The sequence below is a fragment of the Homo sapiens genome, chromosome 17 (genome assembly GCF_000001405.40).
Source record: "Homo sapiens chromosome 17, GRCh38.p14 Primary Assembly".
NCBI lineage: Eukaryota > Metazoa > Chordata > Mammalia > Primates > Hominidae > Homo > Homo sapiens.
Genome location: NC_000017.11, coordinates 55416827 through 55433035, shown reverse-complemented (window position 1 = coordinate 55433035; position 16209 = coordinate 55416827). Strand labels below are relative to the sequence as shown.

Sequence of the window (16209 nt, the reverse complement as noted above, 5' to 3'; positions counted from 1 at the left end):
TCTGATACAGTTAAATTTACAGGACACAGAGATGTTACATTTAATTGAGTTTTGTTGTAGATTTATTTTGCTGAATAAAATTCACAGGAGGCCATTGGTTTGGACTGAGCTCCCCCTGCACTAGATCCACCAGGCCAAACCAAAATGGAGTCACTCGTGCTAATGTTCTGTGCTACCATGTCGGAACTGAGTTGTTTATCTGACCTACCAAGAAATCAAGAGATAATAGCCATCTCCCCAAACAGGCGAGTTTTAGGAAGCCTGCTCTGCCTTAACCTTTACAAGAAAAGCAACTTTGAACACCAATCTACTCTTTGTTCTCTGTTGGGGCTTTCCTCAGCCCTTGCCGAGAAGCTAACCTCCCCTGCTCAGCTCATAGGAACACTCATTCAATTTTATGGAATGAGGTGTTGCCCAACTCTAGAATGGCAAACAAAAGCCAATTAAGATCTTTAAATTTGTTGTAATTTTGTCTTTTGACAGTTTGTAAATGAACTATGCTGCCTTCATAAATATTACTTATATTGGGTTGTCCCCAACTTCAGAAAGGTCTTATGTCTCATCAAAACCACAATATCACTAAATCATAGTCTTCCTGTCTTGTAACTCTTGCAGACATGACCACAATTTCCCACAAATAAATGATAAGATATTTGAAGCTTGCTTTGTTAGATTATGGAATGGGAAGGACCCCGGCAAGTTAAAAGCCCTGGGGTAGGATTGCCAGATAAAATACAGAATGCTGAGTATATATGTGTGTATATATATATATTTTCTTTTATATATATATATTTTTTTCTTTTTTCTTTTTTTTTTTCTTTGCTCTGTTGTCTAGGCTGGAATGCAGTAGCATGAACACAGCTCACTGCAGCCTCAACCTCCTGGGCTCAAGTGCTCCTCCTGCCTCAGCTTCCCAAGTAGCTGGGACTACAGGCCTGGGCCACCATGCCTGGCTAATTCCCTTCCCTTCCCTTCCCTTCCCTTCCCTTCCCTTCCCTTCCCTTCCCTTCCCTTCCCTTCCCTTCCCTTCCCTTCCCTTCTCCCTCCCCGCTCCCCCTCCACTCCCCTTCCCCTTCCCTCCCCTCCCCTTCCCCTCCCCTCCCCTTCCCCTCCCCTGCCCTTCCCCTCTCCTGCCCTTCCCCTCCCCTCCCCCTCCCCCTCCCCCTGCCCTCCCCTCCCTTCCCTTCTGTTTTTGTAACGACGAGGTCTTGCCATGTTTTCCAGGCTGGTCCTGAACTCCTGGGCTCAAGCAGTCCTCCTGCCTCAGCCTCCCAAAGTGCTGGGATTACTGGCATCAGCTACCACATCCAGCCCCAAGTTAAATTTGAACTCTAGATAAATAATGAATAAACAACCAATATTGCATGGGGCAGAATTATACTAAAAAATTATTTGCTGATAACTGAAATTCAAACTTAAAGGGAATCCTATATTTTTATTTGCTAAATCTGGCAACCCTACCCAGATGTCCAATTCTGACTCTTACAACAGGTAAGAGTTGTAAATTTAAATTTGTCATCCTCAGAATCCTCCATAAAATGAAAAGGCTGAACAAGATGAATCCTAAGGTTTCTTGCAGTTCAATAATTATGTAATTCTGTGACTCAAGTACTAATGAACTACAAATGTGACACTGGGCAAGTTAATTTCTTGGTGGATCAATTTCCTCCTCTTCAAAATAAGGATGATAAAGCCAATGTCAAAATTATTAGATGAATAGACCTGGTTTATGACTTGTCTTAGATAAACAAAGCTAGATATTAGTTAAAGAGGTGAAAGCAGATTTTATTCAACTACTGACAGTAAGGAAAGAGTTGGGCTGCCTTCTGATTTGTGCAAAGGTAACTGGGCATTTTAAAGGGAAAATAAGGGAGGAGGAAGTGTGAGCAACTGCAGCTCAGGCAGAGTCAGGGAAAGTGAAAAATGACCAAGGGTTAGTCAGGGTAAATGTGATTAGGCTGGCTGCATCTGCTAGCTGGCAATTATGGAAGTCAGGATTCTATCCTCCCGCAGAGACTGGGACTCCCAGGCCCTATTCTTCCTGATTATATTTCAAAGGAATAGTTTTCAGGTCCTTGAGAAAGATACTCCTGAGTTGTAGGAGATACGTATACATTTTAAAGCAACAGAGAAAGGACTCAGAATTGTAAGCCACTTTGATTTCATGTGCTAGGAAAGGGAAGTTAGGGGCCTATTGTCAGGTGTTGATGAGAACAAACAGTAAATGCTTTTGACAGCCTTGAGATTTTCCTGACAGGAACTCAAAAGGGGGCAGGGTTTTCTCAGTGATGCTGCCTTCCATGCTAGAAACCATTCTATGATTGGTCAAGTCTTAGTGCAGGGGTATGGACTGAGCGGTTGTTATGAGCCAATAGTTATTTGCAGTTCTCATCTTCAAAAGTGCGTGGCATAGTAACTTGTGCTTAATAATTAATCTCTTGTTTATTCATTCAAAATACTATAAAATCCCTCATGATCAAGCTGTATCTAAAGAAACTTTTTTGTTTTGTTTTGTTTTGTTTTGTTTTGAGACGGAGTCTCGGTCTGTTGCCCAGGCTGGAGTGCAGTGGTGCGATCTCGGCTCACTGCAAGCTCCGCCTCCCAGGTTCACGCCATCCTCTTGCCTCAGCCTCCCAAGTAGCTGGGACTGCAGGCGCCCACCACCACGCCCGGCTAATTTTGTTTTTGTATTTTTAGTAGAGACGGGGTTTCTCTGTGTTAGCCAGGATGGTCTCGATCTCCTGACCTTGTGATCCACCAGCCTCGGCCTCCCAAAGTGCTGGGATTACAGGCGTGAGCCACCGGGCCCAGCCTAAGGAACATTTTTTTTTATAACTTAGTTCTGTGTGAAGAAACGGCTTTTGATGCAAACTTTAAGTGAGAAAAAAGTATAGGACACTTGCTTAACTTGCTCACTTTTTTTATTTTTTTGAGACAGGATTTCACTCCGTCACCCAGGCTGGAGTGTAGTGGTGCGATCACAGCTCACTGCAGCTTTGAACCTCCAGGGCTCACATGATCCTCCTGCCTCAGCCTCCCAAGTAGCTGAGACCACAGGTGTGTGCCACCATGCCTGGCTATTTTTTTAATTTTTAGTAGAGATGAGGTCTCACTATGTTGCTCAGACTGGTCTGGAGCTCCTGGGCTCAAGTGATCCTCTTGGTTTGGCCTCCCAGAGTGCTGGGATTTCAAATGTGAGCTACCATGTCTTACCACTTGCTTAAAATATTATGAGTCTTAGCAAATTGTTGGTAAGCAATGATGGTGCTGCAGTTTAAAATGAATGTTATTTCTTCATTAAGGTATCTCTTAAGACTTGTCATTGTCACCATTTTTGTTGACACGAAGTTGGTGACCTATGGACTCAAAATACACATCTTTATTCTAGAATTTGTATGTTAGCTTTCAGCTTGCCCTCCCTTCAGTTGGTCCAAAACAAAAAGATTCCTCAGTTTCTGAATAGGTGAAGTTACTACACTGATTTAATTATATCTGTATTGCAGCAAATCTGAGCTGGATCTGGGGAAGAGTGTGTGTCCTATTTTTGTTTCTCTTTACTCATTAGATTTATATTTTTAAATGGTGCTAAATTGTGAATTTAATGCAATGCACACAGAAGCAGTCATGGGTGGAATTTTATCCCTCCTTGGCTCTAAAGAGTTTTCACAGATTTAGGCTTTGTATAAAGAACTTCTTGGCCAGGCACGGTGGCTCACGCCTGTAATCCCAGCACTTTGGGAGGCCGAGATGGGCGGATCACAAGGTCAGGAGATAGAGACCATCCTGGCTAACACGGTGAAACCCCATCTCTACTAAAAATACAAAAAAAATTAGCTGGGTGTGGTGGCAGGCGCCTGTAGTCCCAGCTACTTGGGAGGCTGAGGCAGGAGAATAGCATGAACCCAGGAGGCAGAGCTTGCAGTGAGCTGAGATGGCACCACTGTACTCCAGCCTGGGTGACAGAGCGAGACTCCATCTCAAAAAAATAAAAAATAAAAGAAAGAAAGAAAGAAAGAATTTCTTAATCTTTCTCAGATTATCCTTTTTCTCCACTCCATTGATGTTGCCTTGGTTCTGGCCTTCATTACTGCTTGCCTGGATGGTTATCCTCTTTTTTTTTGTTGTTGTTGTTTTGTTTTTTGTTTGTTTGTTTTGAGATGGATTTTTGCTCTTGTTGCCCAGGCTGGAGTGTAGTGGTGCAATCTCGGCTCTCTGCAACCTTTGCCTCCCAGATTCAAGTGATTCTCCTGCCTCAGTCTCCCTAGTAGCTGGGATTACAGGCATGCACCACCACACCTGGTTAATTTTTTTGTATTTTTAGTAGATATGGAGTTTCACCAGCTTGGCCAGACTGGTCTGGAACTCCTGACCGCAGATGATCCACCTGCCTCAGCCTCCCAAAGTGCTGGGATTACAGGCGTGAGCCACCGCGCCCAGCCGATACTCTTGTTTTAAAATGGTCACTCTGCTTCCAGCATCCCTCACAGTATTTGTTAGGCTAAACTGTATGTAACAAAAGCCCCAAGTAAGAGTGGTATAAACGAGATAGAAATGTATTCTTCTTACAGATCTTCTGGAGGTGGGGGATTTTCCCCACTGGCATGGGGAAGAAATGCTGGATAGAAACATGGGGTTGTTTGAGAGAAAGAGATATGGTAGCTGCCATATGACAGAGAACTAGAGAGATACAGAGATGTTTAAGAGTTATGTGCAATGCATTTCCCTTCTCCATATTCACAAGAAATTTTAGTAACAATTGACATTACTTGTCTGTGCTTTTATAGCAGCAGTCCCCAACCTTTTTGGCACCAGGGACAGAACTGGTTTTGTAGAAGACAATTTTTCCACAGATCAGGAGTCAGGGATGGTTTCAGGATGAAACTGTTCCACCTTGGATCATCAGGCATTAGATTCTCATAAGGAGCGGGCAACCTAGGTCCTTCACATGCTCAGTTCACAATAGGGTTTGTGCTCCTGTGAGACTCTAATGTCCCTGCGTGTGTGGTTCACAATGAGGTTCATGCTCCTATGAGAATCTAATACCACCGCTAATCTGACAGGAGGCAGAGCTCAGGTGGTAATGCTCACTCCCCCACAGCTCACTTTCTGTTGTGCAGCCTGATCCCTAACAGGCCATGGACCGGTACCAGTCCACAGCCTGGGGGTTGGGGACCCTTGTTTTAGAGACTCATTTAAATTTGTGATTCTTCCAGAATCATTAAGGCAGGTACTAGGACTTGCCCAAGGAGGCTCAGTTGCATTTAGATTGCAAATGGGTGATGATATCTACCTGGACCCTCTACAGCACCTGGTGAGGTTTCAGAGCAGCATCTTTCAGTGTGTGCGAGTTTAGAAATAGTCATGGGCATTTCCACCAACATACTCTGCTTTTCGCACTTCAAGAGAAATTACCTTTCATCTTTACCACCAACTCTTATTTATCATGAACAAATAGAATAACTGAGACCACACAAAGACACTAAGATTCTCAAATCTTTTCTGTTCACAGTTGACTTTGGTAGAATGAAAGAACTCACAGGCTGACTATTCCCAATGGCTTCTTACTACCCTCACCTAAGAAAGAAAGAAACATCAAGATAAGTGGCTAAGTGAGCCCAAATAAGGGGCATCTACATTGTGTTAAATATGATTCTTTATTCTCTGTGGCCAAAACAAAAGCACAGACATGAGTTTCACACAGACCAATAGGAAAGCCCCTATCTAATGTGTCTTGTGGCCTCTGCACCACATTGTGAGAACCATTGCCATCAACTTTTGCTTTATGTTGGTCTTTTGAGGCCTTCCTTGCATTCACTGACATTCCCATCCTTATTCTTATTGCCTTTCAAACCTCTGTTTGAAGAAAGAGCTGAAGCAATCCTGACCCTCAATCCTCAGCAGAATATGTCATGAGGCAGTCAGGGGCTTACATTCAAATGTTCTTTTTTGAGGGAAAACAACCACAACAGCCAACAGAATGTCATTTATTGATTGTGCAATGAGAATAGAACGCTGCTTCATGCAGTGAGTAATGACACATAATCATCTACTGTGACGAGGCATGGGTGGAAAAAGCCTTGAGCTTGGAGTCAGAAAACCTGGGCTCAAATCTTGACTTTTTCACTAATACACATTTATGTTATTTGCAAAACCTCTCTAAGCTTTCACTTCTTCATCTATAAAACAGACATGATATTATCTATCTCACAGCATAGTTTTAAGGATAAAATGAGATAATCGATGTAAAATTTCTAGAACCATGTTAAGCATTCAAAAAATCTGCGTGGGGTGCGGGGCAAGGGGAGGGAGAATATTAGGACAAATACCTAAGGCATGCAGGGCTTAAAACCTAGATGATGGGTTGATAGGTGCAGCAAACCACCGTGATATGTGTATACCTATGTAACAAACCTGCATGATCTGCACATGTGTCCCAGAACTTAAAGTAAAAAAAAAAAAAAAAAAAATTAATCTGTGCAAACATTGTACATCCTCCTTCCATGTAGTCCAGTTGCTAAAAGAAGTAACTTTCAAATAAATACAACCAAAGAGCCAAAAATAATTTTTAGAAAGGACTCAAGCCGGGCACGGTGGCTCACGCCTGTAATCCCAGCACTTTGGGAGGCTGAGGCGGGTGGATCAAGAGGTCAGGAGATCGAGACCATCTTGGCTAACATGGTGAAACCCCGTCTCTGCTAAAAAATACAAAAAAATTAGCCGGGCGTGCTGGCGGGCGCCTGTAGTCCCAACTACTTGGGAGGCTGAGGCAGGAGAATGGCGTGAACCCAGGAGGCAGAGCTTGCAGTGAGCCGAGATCGTGCCACTGCGCTCCAGACCAGGAGAGAGAGCTAGACTCCATCTCAAAAAAAAAAAAAAAAAAAAAAAAAAAAAAAAGGACTCAAAACTACTTCTTGGAAAATATGAGAGTATCCAACTCAGATTGTTAGTAAAACTTCTCCCAACCCGTTTCCTATTCTTCTTCTTATTATTATATCTCACAATCCTAAGAATCCTCCTATTTTGCTAAATCCCAACCCACCTCTCAAAACATCTTGACCAATATCTCCCAGAGCATGGATTTCTTTTCTTATTCATCTTTATCAGGGTGATAAATATAGACCATCTACCTAAGTCCTTCGCTTTTTCTGTAGATCTTTTTTTCTTCCCATTGCTTTATCCAGTTGTTTTTATCAAGCAAGTCTAGCAATGGGGCATGAGAGACAGAAGCACTACTCAAAGGTCAGCGACTGTGGGCAGAAAACCAAGTAGGAAAAGACGACATTCTTCTTTTCAGAAAAGAAGGAAAGACTGGGAGCATCTTCATTTTAAAACTTGCTTTATTCGGTCATATTTGTAAAAACAAAACACAAACAAACAAAAAAACAGATTGAAAGCCAGTTACAGAACACCGGAGGAGACTGGAAGTTCAGTCAAGTCTTCCGGAGGTGTCTGGAGTCAAAGTTTGGAGAAAAGCTGCTACTTTCAGATTGGATGATCAGAGCTAGGGGAGCAGGTCCCAGGTGCTTGCTTCCTCGTATGAATGGCATCCTATCCAGGAACTCTGTATCCCTCCGTGAGCAGAGCAGGTGTTTGCTCTCCTAAAACTTTCCTCTGGCATCTGTTCTATTGCACCTGGAGTTAGCTCTATCACAAATTCCTTCTTATAGGCACAGGCGATGCCCATGCAAATATACATCTGCAGTTTTGCAGAAAGAAGAACTGTAACTCTGAGCTCAACAAAAATGTCACATTCTGCTAATGCAAAACATTTTCCATTGTCTTCAGCTCTCACAACACTAATCTCTAAATCAAATTGAGTACCTCTTTGCTGCAATCATACTTGGGATTGCTCCTCAGAAACAGATTCACTAAACACCTCACTAAAAAAAATGTGGCAGGTGTTTACATGATTCATTTAAACCTGTTTCTTGTGTTTTCTTTTTATCTTTTGTGGCTTGCTTTTACCTTGGGGGGGTAGGTTTCAGGAAAGATGAGGTTAATTTAAAATTGCGACCATATTTGTTTAAGTCACCTTTAGTTGATAGTCCAGCATTTCTGTGGAAGAGACCACTGTAGGTCAAAGTGTTTTATTTCATCTGATTTAATCTGACTTTTTATCTCATTCATTTCTTTTTCCTTGGGTAAGTATCATTCTCACTGATGTTTCCAAACTTAGGTAGCCTCTCAAAAGTTTTCCTTATACCAACCACTTCTCTTCCTTGTTCAAGCTGTTCTCCCAGTGGGAAAGTTTGTGCTAAGTGATACCATCCAGCATCTCAATCAAAATCCATCTGCAGACTTCCTTCTCTCTGGCACCTCTTCCTCATTATGCTCATCATACTCAGTTCACTTCTTATCTCTGCACATTCCTACATCACTAATAAGATGTGATCTGGCATCTGTTGGCTCATTGTGTTGTTGTCGTTTTGTTATTTTTTAATTAAGTTCATATGAATAACTTTATTGAGCACCTACTGTGTGTCAGTTTCTGTTAAAAGTATCCAAGAAATACAAACATGAATAAGACGATCTCTGTGCTCCAGATATTTCTATTTCAACCTTTTTACAGAAACTAAAATTTTTCAAAATCTTTTAACAACTTTATTAAGATAGAATTCCTATGCCATACAATTTACCCACTTAAAGTGTAGAGTTCAGTGGCTTTTATATATTCACAGAATTGTACGTCCATTATCACAATTTGAGAAAATTTTCATTAGACCCCAAAAGAACCATTGTACCGCTTAGCCATCACTTCTCAATCCCCTCCCATTCCCCTGCCCTAGGCAACCACTAATCTACTTTCTGTCTTTATAGATTTGCCTGTTCTGGGACATATAAATGGAATTTTGTATGAATGGAATCATACAATCTGCAGTTCTTTGTGACTGGTTTCTTTCATTTAACATAGTGTTTCCAAGGTTCATCCATGTTGTAACATATATCAGCACTGCCTTTCTTTCCTTCCTTCCTTCTTTTTTTTTTTTTTTTGACAGGATCTCACTCTGTGGCCCAGGTTCAAGTGATCCTCCCATCTCAACCTCCCAAGTAGCTGGGACTACAGGTGCCTACCACAACACCTGGCTAATTTTGTTGTTGTTGTTGTTAGAGATGAACTCTTGCTTTGGTGCTCAGGCTAGTTTCAATCTCCAGGCTTCAAGCGATCCTCCCACCTAGACCTCCCGAAGTGTTGGGATTACAGGTGCAAACCACTGTGCCTGGCCCTTTAAAAAAAAAAAAAAAAAGACTTTTTTTTTTCCAGAGAAGTTTTAGGATCACTCAAAAATTGAGAGTAAAGTACAGGGATTTCCCACACATACATAGCCTCTCCTGTTATCAAAATCCCCCAACAGTGTGGTACATCTGTTACAATTGAGCTTCCTTGTTTTATTTTTTAACCCTTCTTATGTTATTACACATGGCTATTTTTCATCTATCTTTATTAGCTATCTCCTTTGTTACCTTCCCCTCCCGCACTGATGTTTTAGCCCAGTGGCCCAACATAGCTGATAAGAAGCAGACTTTCATTCCAGGTTCATTTTCCCGATTTAGTGTTGAGGGTGCGGGTAGATGAAGTTTTGTTTTGTTTGTTTTGTTTTAGAGAAGTGTATTGCTTTAAAACAGGGAGAGATAGTCTGACGTACTGAAAGGAGGTGGGTCTTTAAAGTTAGCGAAAGGTAGGTAGGAGCCTTACTTTTGCCTTTGGCAAGTTTATTGACCACTATAAGCCTCAGCCTTATCTGTAAAATAAGTTGGATAATGCCCATCTGGAGGAGCTCTTGGGAAGATTGAAGCATGGAAAGCACCTCTCTGGAAGGTTCAAGGAAAGGGAACTAGAATTATGGGTGACAGAATTCCCTGGCTTTCCAATGCTTTACTGTAGGTCGAATGAGCACTCCTAGCAGGCTGGCCTCATGCCACTTCAGAGTCTCTAGCCTGCAGGCTGGGGGCTGGGTATGGACACGATACCTGGAAGGGAACACATATAACTTCCATCAGTGATCCTGGAAAGGCTCGACAAATCACCCATTCATTCATTCTGTGTGTATGTGTGTGTGTGTGAGAGAGAGAGAGAGAGACAGAGTCTCACTCTGTCACCCAGGCTGGAATGCAGTGGTGCAATCTCGGCTCACTGCAACCTCTATCTCCCAAGTTCAAGTGATTCTCCCATCTCAGCCCCCCGAGTAGCTGGGATTACAGGAGCCCGCCACCACTCCCGGCTAATTTTTGTATTTTTAGTAGAGACAAGGTTTCACCAAGTTGGCCAGGCTGGTCTCGAACTCCTGACCTCAGGTGATCCGCCCACCTTGGCTTCCCAAAGTGCTGGGATTACAGGCATGAACCACAGCACCTGGCCCATTCATTCATTTTTATTTGAACTTCTCTTCCAGGAAGCCCTCTGAGTTTAGGTTTAGCGACAGGACCCTGATTCAAGTCAACTCGTTTATTTGAAAGCTGCCTGGATAAAAATAAAATAAAATAAAAAATAAACTGGAGGATAACATAAAAGGATCCTTGCAGAGGATTCCTCCTTTTGTGGATCTCACTGAATCTCAGAGTTAGAAGACGCTCAGAGATCTCAACTCCCTCAAGGGTCAGACAAGGACAGGTTTTTCATTCTGCCCTGGATCCTCTCACAATAGCCTCGCGGGAGCTGGCCCTCAAAATGATGAAGGAATAAATGAAAGGAGGGATGGAGAAATTAATGATGAAGAAAAAATGAATGAGGTAGGGCTGCTTGTTTGCTGCTATTTTCTTCACAATGCTTTTAAGATTTCCTGGTCCATCTCCTCCTTCACCACTTCTCTCCCTCCCTCGATCTCTTCTCCAACTTGTCTCTTACAGAAGGGCGCCGCGTTCCCGCGCTCCTCCCCTTCCCCTCGCCCCGCCCCTCCCCAGCGAGGCCCCGCCTCGCTGCCCGAGCCCGGCGGGAATGAATGGCAGCGTAGCCGCCGCGCCGCTCGGGGTGCCGATTGGCTGACCGGCGCGCTGACGCGCCGGCGACCGCGGGTGCACGCAGGCGAACAGAGCCGGCGGGGGCGGAGCCGGGCTCCGGGGCGGGGCGCAGGAGCCCCGGGGCGGAGGAGCCGGGGAGGCGGGAGGCGGGAGGCGGGAGGTGTTGGGGCCGTTGAAGCGGCCTCCCTCCCGCCCCCAGCCGCCCGGTCTGGCCCCAGCCCTGTCCCGACCCCCGGCCTGGCCCACTCCGACCCTACCCGGCCGAAGGGTTCCGCTGGACACGCAGGCGGCCTCCGGAGCAGCCCAAGCCCATGAGGGCCGCGCGCCCGGCCGCCGGTGCTGACGAGACGGAGCTCCTGGCCCCCGAGGAGGAGCAGAGGATCAATGCGGTTCAAGAATCGATTCCAGCGGTGAGAGGGATGGCGTCCCGGTCCCGCTGCCCGTGTCAGAAGCGGGTTCCCAAATCCCGCCGTTAAGCGCACGGCTCCCGGCTCCTCACCTGGATTCATCCTGGGTGGATCCCGCACCTTGGCCAGGGATCAGTTCCCTGGGGATTCCCCACCCTGCTGTCCCTGGGCGATCCCCTTCCTCCAAGGATGGGAGCTCCTGCCTCACCCGGGTCTCCCCTCGCGATCTGCGGACCTCAGATGGATTCCCGGCCCCGGGACTCCAAGCCTGTCCTCCTTCCCGGGGATCCCTTTGCTCCTGGGGCTCACCCTCCCGACCCCCATACAGGCTGGGCTCTGGCTCTCTCTGGGAACCCGAACCCCAGCCCCGGGCACCGCCCCCGAGTCCTCCGACCTGGCTTTGGCCTCCATCCCTTTACCTCCAGGGTGGGGGTCTCCCGGGGCGCGCGGAACGGGGTGGCGCCCTGCGGAGAGATTTGTCGTAAAGCGGGGTGCTAGGCATTTTGGGTGCTTTGTGAACGGCCCTAGCAACAGGGAAACTGAGGCACGCTCCGCCAGCTTAGCCCTGCCTGGCCGTGTAGGGGCCTTGCTGGTTCTCCAGCTGAACGTCCCAGGGCGGTGCTATTTTTGGGCTCTGCGAAGGGGCATGTTAGCTTTCGGGTGGCGAGACCTGCTGTGGAGGCGCCGGTGTTAGGAAACGAGGAGGAGGAACCGTGGAGGCGCCACCGGAAGGCTGGCCGACTGCTCATTCACTGTAGAGCTGGTGGAAATGCCGGGCTGGGGGGCGCCGTGGCCTTACTCCCCTCTGGGGCTCCACCGTCTAACAATGGATGGAGGTTAGCCCATGACTCTGAGAGGAACTCCGGGCTTTTCTTTTCTGTTTAAGTGGGTGAAAGTTCACCTCTCCAGGGCATATGGTAACTGCATCCCTTTGTGTGAATTCCCGGACCTTCACCACCAGCATGTTTGCTGGGGGTGCAGTGACAGGGGAAATTTTAAGAAATGCATGAAATCTTCCAAGAAGGTTGTTGAGTTTTTAGACACTACCTTTTATTTCAGAATTTTAAAGTACACATTTTTTTTTTCTTTCCAATCTCCATGCCCTCACTGCCCTCTCACCCATCTCATTCCTCCCCCAGTCCCAAAGGGTAAAGGAGGCAACAAATGCACAGAAGAGTTGCCATGGTCTGGGCCACCAGGAAGGGGATCAGCTTGAAGACTTGGATTGACTTCTGAATATATTGCTTATCAGTCAGGGTGTTGAATGCTTGGCACTGTTCCCCCAGTGGAACTTCATACCGGTGTGTCTAAGGGCAAAATGGAACCGTAGTGTTCTGACTTTAGAACCTGATGTCAGAAATGAAGACCGGAGGGGCTTTTAGAGAGAATGTAACATGCACTCCAGTCATGATCAGTGAAGCCCTGTGCATGCGGTTTGATTTGGTTTTACTTCTCTACACGTCTGTGCTCTTCCTGTTTTCAGAGAACAGTGGCAATATTCTGTGAAATTGCCCCTTCCTTGTTTGATTAAGAGTTTGTCATTCTTACCTATACCTTTGGATCCTCTAAAAAGAAAAAAAACAAACAAACCCTGTTCAATTATTTGTTGCACAAACGTTAAAACTGTTAAAACAACAACAACAACAACTTCATTTAGGATGCTACCCTCTCAGCTTATTGAACTGACTTTTTAATTATTTTTGCTGGACACTGATCTCTCCATTCCTTATTAGCACAGTTGTAATGTGATTTTTGCGCTATTATTCACTTAAAAACTAAAAATACAGGTATTTTCTTTTGGTGTGGCATAGACTGTAATTTTCTTGGGGGCTTGTGTGTTTCTCAATGGATATTTAACAGTTTCTTTCTTGATGACATCTAGATCTACCCTGATTTTCTTTGAAGATTTGTGTGATCTCATAATTTCTTGGTTTTCTATCATAAGCTAGGTTGGAAACATAGTTCTAAGCATCAATTTTAACTTGGAAATAAAGCCTATAAACAAAAAGTAATGTAATGAGAATGTCCTGATTTTTGTGGTTCACACATTAAAATGCTGAGAGTAGTACTATTCTGCATCTTTTAATGCTGTGTTCATGATATATCTTTCTGAGCATTCCCAGGTAGGTAAATTGCAAAGGAACTGGAGGGAGAGACACACTGTCTTTGAAGGGAGACATGCTTCCTCCCTCCTGATAGATTTATTGGGACTGGATGGAGGAGCATGAGGAGGGTTTATGCAATGATGGCTTCTTAACAAACTTAGGATGTGAAAAATTTCACTGGAACACAGAGGCATATTTTATCTTCCTCATTTTATGTTTCACACTTGAGTATCCCCAAGATACCTACACACACATAGACAAACACAAAGTCATCCTCTCCCCTTCATAGCATCTCTGATTGATGGCAATAACTGCTAATATTTATTGAGTGCCATTTATCTATGCCAGGCACTGGCTGGGCACTTGTATATTACTCATCCTCAACTATAACTCTGGAAGACATAAATGTTATACCCATTTAATAGAAGAGTAAATAGGTTTAGAGAATGAAAGGGAACTTGCCCATAGTCACACAGCTAGGAAGGGGTAGACCCAAGAGTTCAACTTCATGTCTGTCTCTCAACCAGTCATGCTGCTAGCTCACCTCTTTCTCTCTCTTAACTCTCTGCCCACACCACATCTGTGTGTGGGCACACAGATCTTATAGGCATAAGATCCACAGAGCTCTACTGTATCTTCTTGTTGGTGTGTACTCATTTCAACAGTCTTGCAACCAAAAATCCAAGGAAAAAGAAGCCCTTTTCCTCAGCCCCAACCTCATGATCATGCAGCTAGCTTCAAAACTGGATATGTGGGAAAGCATTTTAATCTACAGTATTAGAAGTCTTACAGGGCTACCTATTGTCTTTTTTCCCATGTTCTTAAAGCACTAAATCATAGGCATGGGGTAGTCTCCTTATATATGCCATCTTCCTTTATTTAATAATTAAGTCAAGATTGGCACTATTGACAGTAGACACTTTTCCTGAACAAATATGCTCAGTCATAAAGGGGAGCTAATAGTAAGAGGGGTCCACTTATACGTTGCAACATAAATGATGTTGAAGGGGCCCTTGGAATATCCGTTGTCTTGGATTTTAAGTGTTTTTGTGTGTGTGTGAGATTCGGGGTTCTCTTGGTTCCAAGGCTGCCTGTTTCTCTTACTTACAGAACCTGCTGTGTCCACAGTAAAACTAATTGACTATGGGATATCTTTGTTAAGACAAAATAGTTCAGCAGTAGCTGGAATGTCTTTCTATTCATTCAACAATTATTAAGCTCTAGCAATAAGCTGGGCATTGTACTTCAGTTTGGTAATGGAAAGGTGAACAAGACAGCCTTCATGGAATTCACACTACAGTGGGAAAAGATGAAATAAAAAATAAGCTAAAACAAATCAAAGTCTTACCAATTGTGACATAGGGCTCTGGTTGGATGGGGAGGGTTGAAATGATACTTCAGTTAGGATAGTCTGGAAAACCTCTCTTGAGGAGGTGACATCTGAGCTGAGCTGAAAGGATGAGAAGAGAGCTGAGCATTCTGGAGAATATCCTAGACAGAAGTAAACAGCAAGTACACATGCCCAGAGGCAGACACAACCTTGATGTGTTTAAGGAGCAGAAAGGAGGTGGTATAGCCAGAGGATGGAGAGAGAGAAAGATGCCACCCTGAGACTGGAGGGGTAGTGAGGCCCAGACCACTCAGGGCTTGTGGGCCTCTGAACACTGTGTTACAGTGCTATCGTAAGCACTTTGGGAAGCCAGAGGCAGACTTTAAGCTGGGATTGGGGTGTGTGATGTGATCTGGGTTTTTTGTTGTTGTTTGTTTTTGAGACAGGGTCTTGTTCTGTCACCCAGACTGGAGTGCAGTGGTGCCATCACAACTCACTGTTGCAGCCTTGACCTCCGAGGCTCAAGCAGTCCTTCTACCTCAGTCAGAAGTAGCTGGGGCTACAGGCATACACTACCACACCTGGCTAATTTTTACATTTTTTTTTGTGTGTAGAGATGGGATCTCACTATACCGCCTAGGCTGGTCTTAAACTCTTGGGCTCAAGCAACCTCCCGCCTCAGCTCCCCAAAAGTGCTGGGATTACAGGTGTGAGCCACCATGCCCAGCCCCTCATCTGTTTCTAATGGAAAACTGTAGCTGCTATGTAAAGAAGAGAGTCTGTACTGGGTCAAGCAGGAAGACTAGTTAAGAGACTTTGTATTTGTACAGACCTGAGATGTTAGGTCTTTATTTAAGGTAGGAGACGCGGAGCTGGGATTACAGGTGCACACCACCACACCAGGCTAATTTTTGTATTTTTGTAGAGATGGAGTTTCTCTATGTTGGCCAGGCTGGTCTTGAACTCCTGACCTCAAGTGATGAGGTGGACTTATTTGAAATATATTTTGAAGGTAGTGTTGATGGTACTTGCACTCGGAGAATGAGGAACACTTGTGGGATTTGATCTACTGAGATCAGCCTCTGAGATCTGCTGGTGGGTTGCAGATCTACTCAGTGGGCACAGTGCTTTAGGTTGAATTTAAAGTGTGTTAGTGTGCTAAGGAGTGTTCCCAGGTCTCTGATCTGTTCTTTCCCTCCATGGTTTTGAAATTCTGTCATGGCATGGGAGAGGGGTATGGGGGAAGGAGGAGGTGATAAGAACGTTGGGCAAGGGGGAAGGCAGGAGAGTTTTGAAAGAGAAAGTGAAGGAATGAGTAAAAAAACTCTGCCTAACTAGTAGCTTTATTAAGTGCAGCTCCCACTCCCAGGACTGAATCACCTTCCTTCAAACCCTCTAGAGCTTGTTGGTT

The 16209-nt window shown here is 44.7% G+C and overlaps 1 protein-coding gene across 2 annotated transcripts in view, besides 3 other annotated features; it reads left to right on the top strand.

The window, feature by feature from the left end:
- Positions 521-721: a silencer, noted in NCBI's record as "peak2902 fragment used in MPRA reporter construct". NCBI's record gives its function as "represses an SCP1 promoter by STARR-seq MPRAs in K562 erythroleukemia cells {active_cell/tissue: K562}" and the evidence as "EXISTENCE:reporter gene assay evidence [ECO:0000049][PMID:32103011]".
- Positions 7677-7776: a silencer, noted in NCBI's record as "silent region_8734". NCBI's record gives its function as "represses an Ori minimal core promoter by ATAC-STARR-seq in GM12878 lymphoblastoid cells {active_cell/tissue: GM12878}" and the evidence as "EXISTENCE:reporter gene assay evidence [ECO:0000049][PMID:35858748]".
- Positions 10801-11260: a silencer, noted in NCBI's record as "silent region_8733". NCBI's record gives its function as "represses an Ori minimal core promoter by ATAC-STARR-seq in GM12878 lymphoblastoid cells {active_cell/tissue: GM12878}" and the evidence as "EXISTENCE:reporter gene assay evidence [ECO:0000049][PMID:35858748]".
- Positions 11201-16209, top strand: part of MMD (monocyte to macrophage differentiation associated) — a 29214-nt gene continuing 24205 nt past the window's right edge. For both annotated transcript variants that reach the window (NM_012329.3, XM_047435708.1), the window contains exon 1: positions 11201-11366. In NM_012329.3, the coding sequence (NP_036461.2) occupies positions 11341-11366 (26 nt within the window). In that variant the 5' untranslated portion in view covers positions 11201-11340. The remainder of the gene's footprint in view (positions 11367-16209) is intronic.